We start from the raw sequence: 17,089 nt of genomic DNA, 5'->3' as shown, positions 1-17,089 counted from the left end.
AGCTTTAGTAAGCCTTGATATCACATATATAGTGAATCCTCCAATTTGTTCTTTTAAAAAAAAATTTTTTTGGCCATTCACATTTTTTTGCATTTGCTTATAAATTTTAAAATGAATTTCAATTCATACCCCAAAGAATGCCTATTGGTATTTTCACTGAGATTTCACTGAATTGACAAATCTATGTTCACGAGGGATATTAGTTCATACTTTTCCAGTTGGTATTTGTTAGGGTTAAGCTGGTCTCATTTCTTAAAAAAAAAAAAAAAATTAAGTGAAATGAGCCAGACACAAAAAGACAAATATTGTATGCTCTCACTTACATGTGGCAGCTAAAAAATGTGAACATATGGAGGTTAACAGTGGAAAGGTAGATAGCAAAGACTGGGAAGGGTAGCGGTTACAGGTGAGAGGTGAGAGGAGAGGATGAAGACAAGTGAGTGAGTTAAAGGAGCAGTAAGATAAAAGGAGTAAATGCAATACTTCACGAAAATGTACTGTACTTGGGTGATGGGCACCCTGAATACCCTGGCTTGATCACAACCCATTGTATGCATATAACAAATTTTCTCATGTACCCCATAAATTTTTTTTTTTTTTTTGAGACGGAGTCTCGCTCTGTCGCCCAGGCTGGAGTGCAGCGGCGGGATCTCGGCTCACTGCAAGCTCCGCCTCCCGGGTTCACGCCATTCTCCTGCCTCAGCCTCCCAAGTAGCTGGGACTACAGGCGCCCGCCACTACGCCCGGCTAATTTTTTGTATTTTTAGTAGAGACGGGGTTTCACCGAGTTAGCCAGGATGGTCTCGATCTCCTGACATCGTGATCCGCCCGCCTCGGCCTCCCAAAGTGCTGGGATTACAGGCATGAGCCACCGCGCCCGGCCTAAATTTTCCAAATAAAAATCATTGGTATAAAATGTATTATTTCTTCCATGTGTGTTTGCTCAAATTTTCCAAAGAAATATTGTGGGTCTGGAATTTTCTTTATGTGAAGGTTTCTGATTATGAAGTCAAGTTTGTTAGTACATTTAGGGCAATTCATATTTTCTGTTTCTTCTTGTGTCAGATTGTTAAGTTGTGCTTTCCAATAAATATGTCCATTTCACCTAAGTGATCAAACTTATTAACAAAAATTGATCATATTTCCTTTTTTAATATCTATAGGATTTGTAGTTATAGCCCTTCTCCACTACTAATATGAGTAATTTGTGCTTTTCTCACTTTTGTTCTTCATCAGTATTTCTATGAGTATACTAGATTTAATTTTTAATTTAGAAGATCAAATTTTGACTTTATTGTTTTTGCTTTATATTTATCTAATTGATTTCTGCTCTTATCATTTCTTTTATTTCTTTTTATTATTTCCTTTCTTCTCTTTAGTTTAGATTTAATTTGCTCTTTTTTTCTATATATAAACATTTAGATAATTGATATTATATGTTTTTTCTTTCCTATTAAGCATTGAAAGCTATAAATTTCCGTCTATGCCCTGCTTCATTTGAATGCCATACATTTTGATGTGTTATTATTAGTTTCAAATATTCTCTAATTTCTCTTGTGTTTTCTTCTTTGACTCATGGGGTATTTGGAATTGTATTATTTAATTTCCAGATATTTGGAGATTTTTCTTCCTATATTATGGCAAACCGTTTATAATTTAATTCTGTAATGGTCAAAGAACATACTCTTCAAGAGTTCAGTCTTACATTTTTGAAGACTTATTTTTGACTCTGCATATGACCCATCTCAGTGAACACATCATGTGCACTTACGCTCTGTTTCCATTCCACCTGGGTTTACGGTACCACAGTTGTGACAGGCCACCTAATCTTCTGACTGACCAGCTATAAATTCAGGGGTTTCCATAGCCCCTTCAATTTGATAATTCACTAGAATGACTCATAGAACTCACTGAAAGCACTGTACTTACAATTACAGTTTTATTGTAAAGAAAACTCAGGAACAGCCTAGTGAAGAGGTACATGGAGTGAAGTCTGAGAGGGTCCCTGGCACAGAGCTGCCATGCCCTCTCCCTGTGGAATCAGGGCATGTCACCCTCCTGACACATCAACGTGTTTATCAACCAGGAAGTTCTTCAAGCTTTGGATGTCCAGAATGTATTTTGAATTTTTCTTATTAGGTACATACATATTTATGATTGACATGTCTTCCTGATTAATTGAGGTTCTTCTTAACACGAAATGTCCCTCTTTATCTCTCATAATGCTCCTTGATTTATATTATCTTGTCTAACAATATAGACTCATCGGCTTTTTTATCGTTATTGTTCTCATGTTATATCTCTTTCCATATTTTTATTTTCAATCTACCTGTTTCTTTATATTCAGAGTGCTTCTCCTGGTAGACGGGTACATGTGTCTTGCTTTTTTATCCAGTCAGACAATGTCTACCCTTTATTTGGCATCTTTAACCCACTAATAGTAAATACAGTTATTGACATCATTGAGTTAGAGTGAATGTTTTCTACTTGTTTTCTCTTTGTCCCATGTTTTTTGTTCCTTTGTTCCTTCTTCCCTGCCTTCTTTTGAGTTAACTGAGCATTACTTAATCTTCCCTTTTACTTCGTTGACTTTTCAGCTATGTCTCTTTTTCACTAGTTACTCAAGGGATCATTAAATACATTCTTATCACTTAGAGTTAATATTGTACCACTTTATATAAAGTGTAAAAACCTTAATAATTTACCCTCTTTGTCTTTTCTGCCATTGCCAAATATTTTCCTCTAGAAATGTTATAAGCCTCATGGCACAACATGTGTATGTGTTTACTAATTTTCAATGCGTTTAGGTTATATTCTATTTATATTACTTCAATTTTATTTCCATGCTTTAAACCACAGTGTGATAAATTTTAAATGGCTGTAAATTCTAGCAGACCAGAATAATAGAACAGGACAGAGAAGCAGTGGAATAAAGACCAGCTGATCACATCTTTATTCAAGCTATGTGATCTTCCTTGGAATCTATTTCTTTATCTGGCAAAAAATTGTTATAAGGATTAAGTGTATTAAGGCAAATTTATGTAGGGGCTGGAGTTCAGTTCATGTTACTTTCCCTTCCCTATAACAAGCTAAATTTTCAGGCTAAGCTATTGTTAGTTAACATCAATGCAAGTTATATATTGTAAACAAAATTATAATGAGAAGCAAATGAAATGTAGACAAACCAAATGAGAAATAAAAAAAAAAACAGTTTCTACTTATACCAAGATGCACAGTACGATATTTTTAACTGAATATAATAAAAATAATTACCAAAGTGTCTTTACCTTAATAGAACTGGTATTTTGTAGTTGTATTAACATGTCAATAAGTAATTCTGCTCCCAAATAGAATGGTAAAACAGAGGTGCAGAGGAAACCATCTTGGCTAATAGGAAATGTTTTATCAAGATCCACTGCCTGTTTAAGAAGTATTTGTAGTTCCTGAGTAAAGTTCCATAAGGCCCGACAGCAGTTCTGAAGCAGAGTCCAATAGCCACCACGATGAGCAAGAACCTATGACAAACACAAAATTTAAAAGATCCCAAAGTTCCAAAAGTTACAGATCTCTGAACAACTTCATCTTTTTCCAAATATTATGTGTCAATAGTAAAAATAACTAACATCATTTGTTAGGGTCACTTACATGAGTTAGACACTGTTATATGCATTATCTCATTTACTTCGAACAAAGATTTCCATGAAGTAAGTGTGCACTAGGTACTAGTATTTTACCCAATTTACAGATGAGGAAATGGAGTCATGGGTTCAGCGTGGCTAACCCATTGTTCTAGGTGCTGGGAATTCAGCAGCGAGCAAGGGAAACTGGGTCTGCCCTCATGCTGCTTACGTTCATTTCGGGAGACGGACACTAGAAAAGTAGACATATAAAAACATAATTTCAAGCAATAAGAAGTTTTATAAAGAAAAATAAAGCAGAAATGAGTTGGAACCTGACAGAGCATTACAGGACAGGTTGCTTTAGACAGGGTGGTCAGGAAAGAAGTCCTCTCTGATGAGGTAGCATTTGAGCAAACATCTGAATATTGAACAAGTCATGTGAAAGTGGCAGTGAGGGTGTTGGGTGGAGAAGAGCATTTGAGGCTCAGGGAACAGCAAGGTGAAACTGAGGGCTGAGGATGGAACAAACTAAGTGCTTTCAAGACTGCTGACCCATGGGAGTGAGCCAAACAACAGCAAGAGTAAGAGGAGCTGAGTTCTGCAAGGTGCTCAGGACCAGCTCTTCCAGGGCCCTGAAGCTGGAGGCCAGGATAGGATTCGATGCTTATGGTCAAAGCAGGTGATCCAGGTTTACATTACATTATGTAAAAATCACTCTGTCCACTCCATGGGGCATATGAGAACCTGTCTTCCTTTCTTATCTAGAAAGGATAGATTTCTCTTTACCTCTTGAGGAGTTTAAAGTATATGCCCTATGCCCTTCCTGCTGTGAAAAAAAGAAACTGATTTCTTTGTAGCTAACAATTCCAATTCTGGGTTTAATCATGTCTCATATAATATTTAAGAAGAAAAAGAAAGAAAAGCATTTGAGAGAACATGGAAGTGATGGGAAGAAGGAGACCGGGGGCAAGGGCAGGGTTCTCTTAGAGCCTAGAAAGATCTTTCCCTGTCCTAGAAAGAAAAGAGAGATCTATGGTACCCCCAAGAGAGATCAAGTCCCCATAGAGGAACCCCTTGCATTATGAGAGAACCCCATGTCTCGGCAGAGAGGTGCATGCATATTCATAGGAACTGCATGAACAGGGACAAAGAACACCTGGGCTCTGGGTGGATGGCTGGCAATGACTAAAGAAGCTTCCCCCCTCTGCCTGACAACTGGACAACACATGCCCTCAGTATCACTGCAGGTACACCTCAAAAGTGACTTAGGATACACCCAGCAAGATGAGATCTCAAAGTCACAACTAAAATTATGTATAATAAGAAAATAAACACAATGTATCTTAAACGCCCAAGTTGGTGGGCTGAAATTTATGTCTACTACACTGCAAACAAGAAAGATTGCATTACCATTGCTCTCCTGCAGTATAAAAAGATTTTCATAAAATGATCCATTACACACAAATTTGCTCCTCGGTCCTTTTCTTTAGCACTAGAACCTGATTGAGAGTCTGAGTCATAAACTGTTTGTGTCTTGGACATATTTTCATCACTCATTATGGAATTAATAAATGTAGAAAATTCTTCAGCATCTACAGTACAAAAATAAGATATGACATGATTAAAAACATAGAATTAAGTTCCAGAAAACACAGTAGGTGATAAGGATCAAGTGAGTAATTCAGATAACAAATGCTACATAAACTTGGAGAAAGGACAAGACTATCAGAGATACAATGAACCAGGGAAAGTTTCTAGAGAAGGAGGTATTTGGGTCTTAAAGAATGGGCATCATTTAGCTATATGGGGAAATACAGAGAACGTCATTTCAGACAAAGTCGATGGCAAAAGGAACAATGCAGAAGTAGGAATGTACATGTTTTTTGAAAGGAAAAATAGAAAATACTACTGTCCTTTCATTTCCTCCCAAACAGGCCATTCCTAAGACAATATATCAGAAAGTGAGCTGCACCTCTGGAGTTAGGCAATGCAGCAACCTCGGCCACGCATTCCCCTCCTGGTGTGGCATAAAAAAGAAGGCTTTCTCCTGCCACCAACTTTCTCTTAGAACCCTGCATTAGATAGTAAGTCTCGGTAGCAAAATATTCTATTGCCAATTTCATGGTAGGTCTTAGGTAGAGAGCCAGTTTTAAAAAAAGAAAAACTCAGGAAGCTGTATACTAAAATCTATATTCAAAAACCAGACTCTATGGCTATGGAATTCACTTTCAAATACTTCACTATACACAGTATGATATGCACATACCTGTGAAATCTAATCTATATCCTAGAAGAAGTCAGAAAGCATGCCAAGTCCCTCAAACATAAATCAACACTCCTGGGGCATTAACTGGCATACCAAGAACTCTGGTTGGCAATAAATCCCATAGCACTTAAAATGTCATTACTAAAAGTCTATATGAGTATGTAAGAGCCTAAAGGCATTAGAAATAAATTTTTATTTGTGAAATGAACCATATCATTGGTTAGAAAGTGTCCAGGTTCCATCATCTTTGCAGGAAAGGGGTGTGGAAATTAGTCAGGTTCGTCAGACTACAGTTTCCAGAGCACACCCTGATCAAGAACCCTGTTTTCGGCCGGGCGCAGTGGCTCACGCCTGTAATTCCAACACTTTGGGAGGCAGAGGCAGGTGGATCACAAGGTCAGGAGTTGGAGACCAGCCTGGCCAACATAGTGAAACCCCGTCTTTACTAAAAATACAAAAAATTAGCCAGGCGCGGTGGCACGTGCCTGTAATCCCAGCTACTGGGGAGGCTGAGGCAGGAGAATCGCTTGAATTCAGGAGGCGGAGGTTGCAGCCAGCCGAGATCGCCACTGCACTCCAGCCCAGGTGATAGGGTGAGACTCCGTCTCCAAAAAAAAAAAAAAAAAAAAAAAAAAAGAACCCTGTTTACCTGCATGTCTCTACCTTTTGGAGCCCCCTGTCACCTGACTAGATAACAAGGCTTCATTCATCTTAGAGTGAGCTTTCTTGGAAGATGCTGGTTGGAAATCCTAGGGCAATGGTGGATTCCCCTGAATACAAAATCAGCTATCATGATAGTTTGGGTGACTGCTTGTATTAGTATGTTTGATGGATTTTGCTTGGGAACTTATTTGCACTAAAACATAATACCCAATAGCAAGTCTTCACCTATCTTGAACCACCAAAGGCTATGAATATTAAATTTAAAACATTATATTTGCTGAACAATCTAATTGGCTAAGGTTAAAATACAAAATAGATATTTCCAAATATATGCAATAATATCATAAGAATATAGAAATTTTTTAAAATAGAGCAAACAAGAATCTCCTACAAAATATCAAAACTCAACTAAATTGCTGGTCCTTTGGAAAACTGGGTGTATACATTTGTGTGTCCACAATGTGTATGTGTGCTGTGTTGTTTAGTGAATAAAAATCTAGAGGTAATTTAATAATAAACTAACATGTTTATTTTACCTGATGGTAAGTTGGCCTTTCTTTTTTTGGCTGTAAGAAGGAAATCAAGCATTGCTTTATAATTTTCTACAGTCAATTTTCTTGTTGGTAATACTGTTCCTGAATTATACAGTGAAAACATGTTAGGATCACATGATCGGAAACTGCAAGGGGGGAAAAATCATATTAAAAAACAATATAAGCAAAATTGAATTAAATCTGTCAAATGCAATCTATTTTTATTTTTAAAACATTTGTGAGTACTCCCAAATTTTAAATCATGAAGGGTTTTGTCACTTAATCAAAGCCCAACATTTTTTCACTAACTTTTAAAATTATGCAATGTAATTTTGCTCTTAGGAATTTTAACATCAATATATATTTCTCTGAAAGGGCTCTTGAAAATGGGAATAAAAATATCTGTGCCGGCTCTGTGAGCTCTGAAACGATAATTTATTTCAACTTAAAACCACCTGATTTGAACAGAACTCAATGACAATGCTTACTATATATAGTAATGTGTCCATAATCAATGGCATTTCTTTTTTTTTTTTTTTTTTTTTTTTGGGACAGAGTCTCGCTCTGTCGCCCAGACTGGAGTGCAGTGGCGCGATATCGGCTCACTGCAAGCTCTGCCTCCTGGGTTCACGCCATTCTCCTGCCTCAGACTCCAGAGTAGCTGGGACTACAGGCGCCCACCACCACGCCTGGCTAAGTTTTTGTATTTTTAGTAGAGGCAGTGTTTCAGCGTGTTAGCCAGGATGGTCTCGATCTCCTGACCTCATGATCCGCCCACCTCGGCCTCCCAAAGTACTGGGATTACAGGTGTGAGCCACTGCACGCAGCCCTCATTTCTTTTTTAAAATAAGGTCTAGGCATTGAACAGTCTTGCATCAAAAAAAATAAATAGTTTATATTCATTATTCTTTTTTTATTATTATACTTTAAGTTTTAGGGTACATGTGCACAATGTGCAGGTTTGTTACATACGTATACATGTGCCATGTTGGTGTGCTGCACCCATTAACTCGTCATTTAACATTAGGTATATCTCCTAATGCTATACCTCCCCACTCCCACCACCCCATAACAGGCCCCGGTGTGTGATGTTCCCCTTCCTGTGTCCATGTGTTCTCATTGTTCAATTCCCACCTATGAGTGAGAACATGCGGTGTTTGATTTTTCGTCCTTGCGATAGTTTGCTGAGAATGATAGTTTCCAGCTTCATCCATGTCCCTACAAAGGACATGAACTCATCATTTTTTATGGCTGCATAGTATTCCATGGTGTATACGTGCCACATTTTCTTAATCCAGTCTATCATTGTTGGACACTTGGCTTGGTTCCAAGTCTTTGCTATTGTGAATAGTGCTGTGATAAACATATTTGTGCATGTGTCTTTATAGCAGCATGATTTATAATCCTTTGGGTATATACCCAGTAATGGGATGGCTGGGTCAAATGGTATTTCTAGTTCTAGATCCCTGAGGAATCGCCACACTGACTTCCACAAAGGTTGAACTAGTTTACATACAGTCCCACCAACCGTGTAAAAGTGTTCCTATTTCTCCACATCCTCTCCAGCACCTCTTGTTTCCTGACTTTTTAATGATCGCCATTCTAACTGGTGTGAGATGGTATCTCATTGTGGTTTTGATTTGCATTTTTCTGATGGCCAGTGATGATGAGCATTTTTTCATGTGTCTTTTGGCTGCATAAATGTATTCTTTTGTGAAATGTCTGTTCATATCCTTCACCCACTTGTTGATGGGGTTGTTTTTTTCTTGTAAATTTGTTTGAGTTCATTGTAGATTCTGGATATTAGCCCTTTGTCAGATGAGTAGATTGCAAAAATTTTCTCCCATTCTGTAGGTTGCCTGTTCACTCTGATGGTAGTTTCTTTTTGCTGTGCAGAAGCTCTTTAGTTTAATTAGATCCCATTTGTCAATTTTGGCTTTTCTTGCCATTGCTTTTGGTGTTTTAGACATGAAGTCCTTGCCCATGCCTATGTCCTGAATGGTATTGCCTAGGTTTTCTTCTAGGGTTTTTATGGTTTTAGGTCTAAAATTTAAGTCTTTAATCCATCTTGAATTAATTTTTGTATAAGGTGTAAGGAAGGGATCCAGTTTCAACTTTCTAAATATGGCTAGCAAGTTTTCCCAGCACCATTTATTAAATAGGGAATCCTTTCCCCATTTTTTGTTTTTGTCAGGTTTGTCAAAGATCAGATAGTTGTAGATATGTGACATTATTTCTGAGGGCTCTGTTCTGTTCCATTTGTCTATATCTCTGTTTTGGTACCAGTACCATGCTGTTTCGGTTACTGTAGCCTTGTAGTATAGTTTGAAGTCAGGTAGCGTGATGCCTCCAGCTTTGTTCTTTTGGCTTAGGATTGACTTGGCGATGCAGGCTCTTTTTTGGTTCCATATGAACTTTAAAGTAGTTTTTTTCCAATTCTGTGAAGAAAGTCATTGGTAGCTTGATGGGGATGGCATTGAATCTATAAATTACCTAGGCAGTATGGCCATTTTCACGATATTGATTCTTCCTATCCCTAAGCATGGAATGTTCTTCCACTGGTTTGTATCCTCTTTTATTTCATTGAGCAGTGGTTTGTAGTTCTCCTTGAAGAGGTCCTTCACATCCCTTGTAAGTTGGATTCCTGGGTATTTTATTCTCTTTGAAGCAATTGTGAATGGGAGTTCACTCATGATTTGGCTCTTTGTTTGTCTGTTATTGGTGTATAAGAATGCTTGTGCTTTTTGCTCATTGATTTTGTATCTTTTTAATAGCTACACAGTATTCCATATTATGTATGTATCTTCTATTTTTATCTCTCACAGCACTTAGCCAAAGACACTCAGTAAGTGCTTAAAAATGTCTGTTGAGTTAATGATAGAAAATTGACATTGGGTGAGTAAATATGATCTTAAAGTACGCCTCTATGAAATAGACATTTGCCTAATGCCTACTAATATCTACATTTATTCTATAATTCATATTAAACTTCTCTTGGAATTACATTTTACCCTTGCACTGAAAGCTAGATCAACAAACATATTCAAGCTACAATCAAATTATCACTTATATCCAGCACATAATTGTGAAAGATTCTGAGATTAAAACTTAAGAAATAAACCAATGGTTAGTGATATGGTTTGGCTCTCTGTCCCCACCCAAAGCTCACTTTGAATTGTAATAATCCCCACGTGTCAAGGGCAGGACCAGGTGGAGGTAACTGAATCATGGGGGCAGTTTTCCCCATGCTGTTCTCATGATAATGAGTCTCACAAGATCTGATCGTTTTATGAGCATATGGTATTTCCCTTGCACTTCTCTCTCCTGCCACCATGTGTAGAAGGACATGTTTGCTTCCCCTTCTACCATGATTACGTTTCTTGAGCCCTCCCCAATGGAACTGTGAGTTAAATTAAACCTTCTTCCTTTATAAATTACCAGTCTCGGGAAGTTCTTTATAGCAGTGTGAGAACAGACTAATAGAGCCAGTATAAAGATAGAAGCACTCTGTAAACCTCCTTAAGTTGTTAGCACCATTGGAGCTCTGAACATACAAATACAATCCATGTTCATGAAACTAAAAAAGTATTTTTCATCAGTAATATACTATACCTGACCATCATATGTGATGTGCCAAATTTCATCTTCGTACACTCCCATAGCTTTTGTAAAACCAGGTTAAAGTGTGCACCTGCTAGATACAGGTTCATCTGAGCTCTCCAGGGCATCTCTTCAAGTGATAGACGATGGAACCTCTTTCTTTTAACATAACTTAATATTAGAGGATTCAAGTAATCCATCAGGTATCGTTGTGCTGCTTTCCTAACACTGGTTCTCCTATTTCTGCCAAGGGAGAAAGAAGTTTTGAAATTACACAAGAACTTTCAGATATTTAATAAAGAAGAATCATTCCAATTTGGAAATAATACATCAATAAGTCACTTGACTGCCCTTATGCTAATGTTTCTGGCTTATTTATCATTTCTGCAGTGCTAGAAATATGAACCAGGGTGGTTTAAAAAAAGGCACAGGGATAAGCACCAGGGACAAAGACACCATGTATTGTCTTCAACTCTCTCTGAAGTCTGTGTCCTTAGCTAAAACCAACCAGAGCTTTTATTTTTCATAACCAAAAGGCTACTGAGATTAGACAACAAAATTAGGATATGATGTCCACATTCATCAACTAAATTCAATATTAAACAAGAAAATCATTTCTCTATATTGGTCCTTAAGGAAAAAACAACGCAGCAAAATTTTGTCTAACATTAGTTAGACTCTAGAGGAAATAAAACATCAGTTGAATATAGCTGAGATTACTTCATAACTGCATATTCAATATGCTCCAGAAAAAAATATACTCAAATTTTAGCTAATAGTTTAGATTTCAAGTATTATATATATTCAATTTTTTAAAATCATCCCTATCAAAACTTAAAGTAGTCCAATTACTTGCACAGTTATATAGTTGTTTATAGAGCATATTGTTCCAAGCATATTTTCAGTTTTTTTTGTTCTGTTAGCAGTGTTGCTACCCTATTGGTCAGCACCAATCTACCTGATTTATGTTGGTCACTTATATATTGTTCAGAATCTAAACCAACACACACACACACACACACATACACACATACAATAAAAAAAGAATGATGGATAGGAAGAAGGCAGGCAGATGTTGAAACAGAGGAGGAAACATTTGAAGAAAGGAAGGAGGGCAGCTTCCTTTTGATGTGTAGTGTTTACATTATCACTCAGTTCTAAATATGTTTTAGTTTATTGATGATTTGCTTTTAATCCAAGAGTTTTAGGGTTTTTTTGTCATTGTTTAGTTGGTTTTAGTGATGTTATTTGGTTTCCCAATAAATGTGAATCTTTTTAATAGCTGTATCCTGAAAGTTAAAAATATAATTTCCAAAATGAAAATCAATCTTGTCCCCATGTGAGTAGATCAATTCTCCTCAAAAGGCCAAGATGAGTCAACAATCGGTTGCATCTTCCTTGCCATGGAGAGTGCGATAGTTCAGGGAGATCAGCGACAGGACAGGCTTCCTCCAGGTATCTTGGCAAGGTAATGACAGACTCCAGGTGGCTCAGAAGGGAATTCACATCCAGCCCACAGAGGGTACAGAATGCTTTTCCTCCTATCATCTGAACAGTTCTTAACATTCAGGGTGCTCCAATAACCTGATTTGTGTCTTCATGAGCAACAAGTCTCAGGACACCCAAGAGACAGAGACAGAGCTCCACAAGGACAATCAGCAGAAATCCTCAGTGATGTGAAGCCATAAGAGGAAGCAGATAAACACCCGAATTAAAAAATATTTAGAAATCCTGAAACTACCTTCTATATATTCTGGCTTAAGGAAATAAGCTAGCGTATTGACATTAGCAGAACCAGGATTCTCACCATTAGGGAAAAGAGTTACAATTAGAAAAAGAGAAAACTCCGGAAAGTATCCTGTGGTTTTGAACTGGAATTCCAGTTATTAGAATGAATTTATGGTTTTAGATACAGAGAGATAGAGAGATACAGAGATTTATATAGCTATATTTAGATAGATATGTTTAGATAGACAATAAGATAGATTTAGATAGATAAATTTATCTGAACAAATACATTTCCCAGCTCAGCCTTTTGAGAGGACCTGGAAGCAAAGCCACATCAGTAGCCCTCACAACTTAGATTCTAAATAAATACCACTTCTCACTAAAAGAAATCAATTGACTCGAGGGCTGTACAAGGTGTGTACAAGATGAACATCTTGTGGTAAGAAGTAGCTCAAAAAAATGATGGAAGCATGTCAAAAACTGAAGAGCTAGCCTGGAAGAGCTCCTGCTAGCCAAATCTAGAGCAATTTGAGAATTAAAATAAACAATAATGTTAATTTGATAAAGAATATCCACAGAACAAAACCTACCACAAATACCATTCTTTTCTTTTTTTTATACTTTAAGTTTTAGGGTAAATGTGCACAACGTGCAAGTTTGTTACATATGTATACATGTGCCATGTTGGTGGGCTGCACCCATTAACTCGTCATTTAACATCAGGTATATCTCCTAATGCTATCCCTCCCCCCCCGCACCACCCCACAACAGGCCCCGGTGTGTGATGTTCCCCTTCCTGTGTCCATGTGTTCTCATTGTTCAATTCCCACCTATGCGTGAGAACATGCGATGTTTGGTTTTTTGTCCTTGTGACAATTTGCTGAGAATGATAGTTTCCAGCTTCATCCATGTCCCTACGAAGGACATGAACTCATCATTTTTTATAGCTGCATAGTATTCCATGGTGTATATGTGCCACATTTTCTTAATCCAGTCTATCATTGTTGGACATTTGGCTTGGTTCCAAGTCTTTGCTATTGTGAATAGTGCCGCAATAAACATACGTGTGCATGTGTCTTTACAGCAGCATGATTTATAATCCTTTGGGTATATACCCAGTAATGGGATGGCTGGGTCAAATGGTATTTCTAGTTCTAGATCCCTGAGGAATCGCCACACTGACTTCCACAAAGGTTGAACTAGTTTACAGTCCCACCAACAGCATAAAAGTGTTCCTATTTCTCCACATCCTCTCCAGCACCTCTTGTTTCCTGACTTTTTAATGATCGCCATTCTAACTGGTGTGAGATGGTATCTCATTGTGGTTTTGATTTGCATTTCTCTGATGGCTAGTGATGATGAGCATTTTTTCATGTGTCTTTTGGCTGCATAGATGTCTTCTTTTGAGAAGTGTCTGTTCATATCCTTTGCCCACTTGTTGATGGTGTTGTTTGTTTTTTTCTTGTAAATTTGTTTGAGTTCATTGTAGATTCTGGATATTAGCCCTTTGTCAGATGGATAGATTGCAAAAATTTTCTCCCATTCTGTAGGTTGCCTGTTCACTCTGATGGTAGTTTCTTTTTGCTGTGCAGAAGCTCTTTAGTTTAATTAGATCCCATTTGTCAATTTTGGCTTTTCTTGCCATTGCTTTTGGTGTTTTAGACATGAAGTCCTTGCCCATGCCTATGTCCTGAATGGTATTGCCTAGGTTTTCTTCTAGGGTTTTTATGGTTTTAGGTCTAACATTTAAGTCTTTAATCCATCTTGAATTAATTTTTGTATAAGGTGTAAGGAAGGGATCCAGTTTCAGCTTTCTACATATGGCTAGCCAGTTTTCCCAGCACCATTTATTAAATAGGGAATCCTTTCCCCATTGCTTGTTTTTCTCAGGTTTGTCAAAGATCAGATAGCTGTAGATATGTGGCATTATTTCTGGGGGATCTGTTCTGTTCCATTAGTCTATATCTCTGTTTTGGTACCAGTACCATGCTGTTTTGGTTACTGTAGCCTTGTAGTATAGTTTGAAGTCAGGTAGAGTGATGCCTCCAGCTTTGTTCTTTTGGCTTAGGATTGACTTGGCAATGCAGGCTCTTTTTTGGTTCTATATGAACTTTAAAGTAGGTTTTTCCAATTCTGTGAAGAAAGTCATTGGTAGGTTGATGGGGATGGCATTGAATCTATAAATTACCTTGGGCAGTATGGCCATTTTCACAATACTGATTCTTTGTACCCATAAGCATGGAATGTTCTCCCACTGGTTTTTATCCTCTTTTATTTCATTGAGCAGTGGTTTGTAGTTCTCCTTGAAGAGGTCCTTCACATCACTTGTAAGTTGGATTCCTAGTTATTTTATTCTCTTTGAAGCAATTGTGAATGGGAGTTCACTCATGATTTGGCTGTTTGTCTGTTATTGTTGTATAAAAATACTTGTGATTTTTGCACATTGATTTCGTATCCTGAGACTTTGCTGAAGTTGCCTATCAGCTTAAGGAGATTTTGGGCTGAGACAATGGGGTTTTCTAGATATATAATCATGTCGTCTGCAAACAGGGACAATTTGACTTCCTCTTTTCCTAATTGAATACCCTTTATTTCCTTCTCTTGCCTGATTGCCCTGGCCAGAACTTCCAACACTATGTTGAATAGGAGTGGTGAGAGAGGGCATCCTTGTCTTGTGCCAGTTTTCAAAGGGAATGCTTCCAGTTTTTGCCCATTCAGTATGATATTGGCTGTGGGTTTGTCATAGATAGCTCTTATTATTTTGAGATACGTCCCATCAATACCTAATTTATTGAGAGTTTTTAGCAAGAATGTTGTTCAATTTTGTCAAAGGCCTTTTCTGCATCTATTGAGATAATCATGTGGTTTTTGTCGTTGGTTCTGTTTATATGCTGGATTACATTTATTGATTTGCATATGTTGAACCAGCCTTGCATCCCAGGGATGAAGCCCACTTGATCATGGTGGATAAGCTTTTTGATGTGCTGCTGGATTCCGTTTGCCAGTATTTTATTGAGGATTTTTGCATCGATGTTCATCAGGGATACTGCTCTAAAATTCTCCTTTTTTGTTGTCTCTCTGCTAAGCTTTGGTATCAGGATGATGCTGGCCTCATAAAATGAGTTAGGGAGGATTCCCTCTTTTTCTATTGATTGGAATAGTTTCAGAAGGAATGGTACCAGCTCCTCCTTGTACCTCTGGTAGAATTCGGCTGTGAATCCATCTGGTCCTGGACTTTTTTTGGTTGGTAAGCTATTAATGATTGCCTCAATTTCAGAGCCTGTTATTCGTCTATTCAGAGATTCAACTTCTTCCTGGTTTAGTCTTGGGAGAGTGTATGTGTCAAGGAATTTATCCATTTATTCTAGATTTTCTAGTTCATTTGCATAGAGGTGTTTATAGTATTCTCCGATGGTAGTTTGTATTTCTGTGGGATCGGTGGTGATATCCCCTTTATCATTTTTTATTGCGTCCATTTGATTCTTCTCTCTTTTCTTCTTTACTAGTCTTGCTATCGGTCTATCAGTTTTGTTGATCTTTTCAAAAAACCAGCTCCTGGATTCACTGATACCAGAATCTCTGGGACACATTCAAAGCAGTGTGTAGAGGGAAATTTATAGCACTAAATGCCCACAAGAGAAAGCAACAAAGATCTAAAATTGACACCCTAACATCACAATTAAAACAACTAGAGAAGCAAGAGCAAACACATTCAAAAGCTAGCAGACGGCAAGAAATAACCAAGATCACAGCAGAACTGAAGGAAATAGAGACACAAATACCATTCTTAATGCTAAAATGTTGAAAACGTGAAAGCGTTCCCTATGAAGTGGGAATCAGACAAATATGCCCACTAACATCATTTTTGTTTTAGCACTGTATTGATGGGCCTAGCCAGAACAATAAGGAAGAAAAAGGAAAAGGGGAAAAGGATTGGAAAGTCAATATACAAAAATAACTCTATTTCTACATACCATCAATAAACAAAGAGTTCTAAAAGAATCATTTCCGGTAGCTTCAAAAACATACCTAGAAATTAATCAAAGCAATGATATATAAGATCTATTCACAAGAAGCAGAAATTACAAAGATAATTTAAAAACATATAGAACTAAATGAGAATGAAAACAATTTTAGTAAAAATTGTAGGATGCAGGCCAGGTGCAGTGGCTCATGCCTGTAATCCCAGCACTTTGAGAGGCTGAGGCAGGAGGATCACTTGGGCCCAGGAGTTCAAGACCAGCCTGGGCAACATAGCGAGGCCATCTCTACAATTAAAAAAAAAAAAAATTAGCCAGGTGTGGTGGTACATGCCTGCAGTCCTAGCTACTCAGGAGACTGAAGTAGGAGGATCGCGCTTAAGCCCAGGATTTTGAGGCTGCAGTGAGCTATGATGGTACCACTGCACTCCAGCCTGGATAACCAAAAAAAAATAAATATATATATATATACACACACACACACACACACACACACACACACACACATGCATATATATATATATATATGATGCAGCTAAAATATTTAGAAGAAAACTTAAATGTTTATGTTTTCTGGATTCAAAGCAATCCCAACTGTACTTCCAGCAAGTTCTTTGTTTTTAAATTACCATTGTACAGTGTGTGTCACTTCATGACAGGGATACATTCTGAGAAATGTTTCGTTAAGCTATTTTATTG

The 17,089-nt window shown here is 37.5% G+C and overlaps 1 protein-coding gene across 2 annotated transcripts in view; it reads right to left on the bottom strand.

Annotated features, from left to right (window-relative positions):
- The window catches only part of CFAP54 (cilia and flagella associated protein 54), a 385,979-nt gene that overhangs the window by 220,453 nt on the left and 148,437 nt on the right, over positions 1-17,089 (bottom strand). For both annotated transcript variants that reach the window (NM_001367885.1, NM_001306084.2), the window contains exons 33-36: positions 10,695-10,925; positions 7,086-7,228; positions 5,031-5,212; positions 3,288-3,515 (exon numbers count right to left, since the gene is read on the bottom strand). In NM_001367885.1, coding sequence (NP_001354814.1) covers positions 3,288-3,515; positions 5,031-5,212; positions 7,086-7,228; positions 10,695-10,925 — 784 coding nt within the window. The remainder of the gene's footprint in view (positions 1-3,287; positions 3,516-5,030; positions 5,213-7,085; positions 7,229-10,694; positions 10,926-17,089) is intronic.

This window comes from Homo sapiens, chromosome 12, assembly GCF_000001405.40.
Source record: "Homo sapiens chromosome 12, GRCh38.p14 Primary Assembly".
Classification (NCBI taxonomy): Eukaryota; Metazoa; Chordata; class Mammalia; order Primates; family Hominidae; genus Homo; species Homo sapiens.
This window is presented reverse-complemented; position numbering and strand designations above follow the sequence as displayed.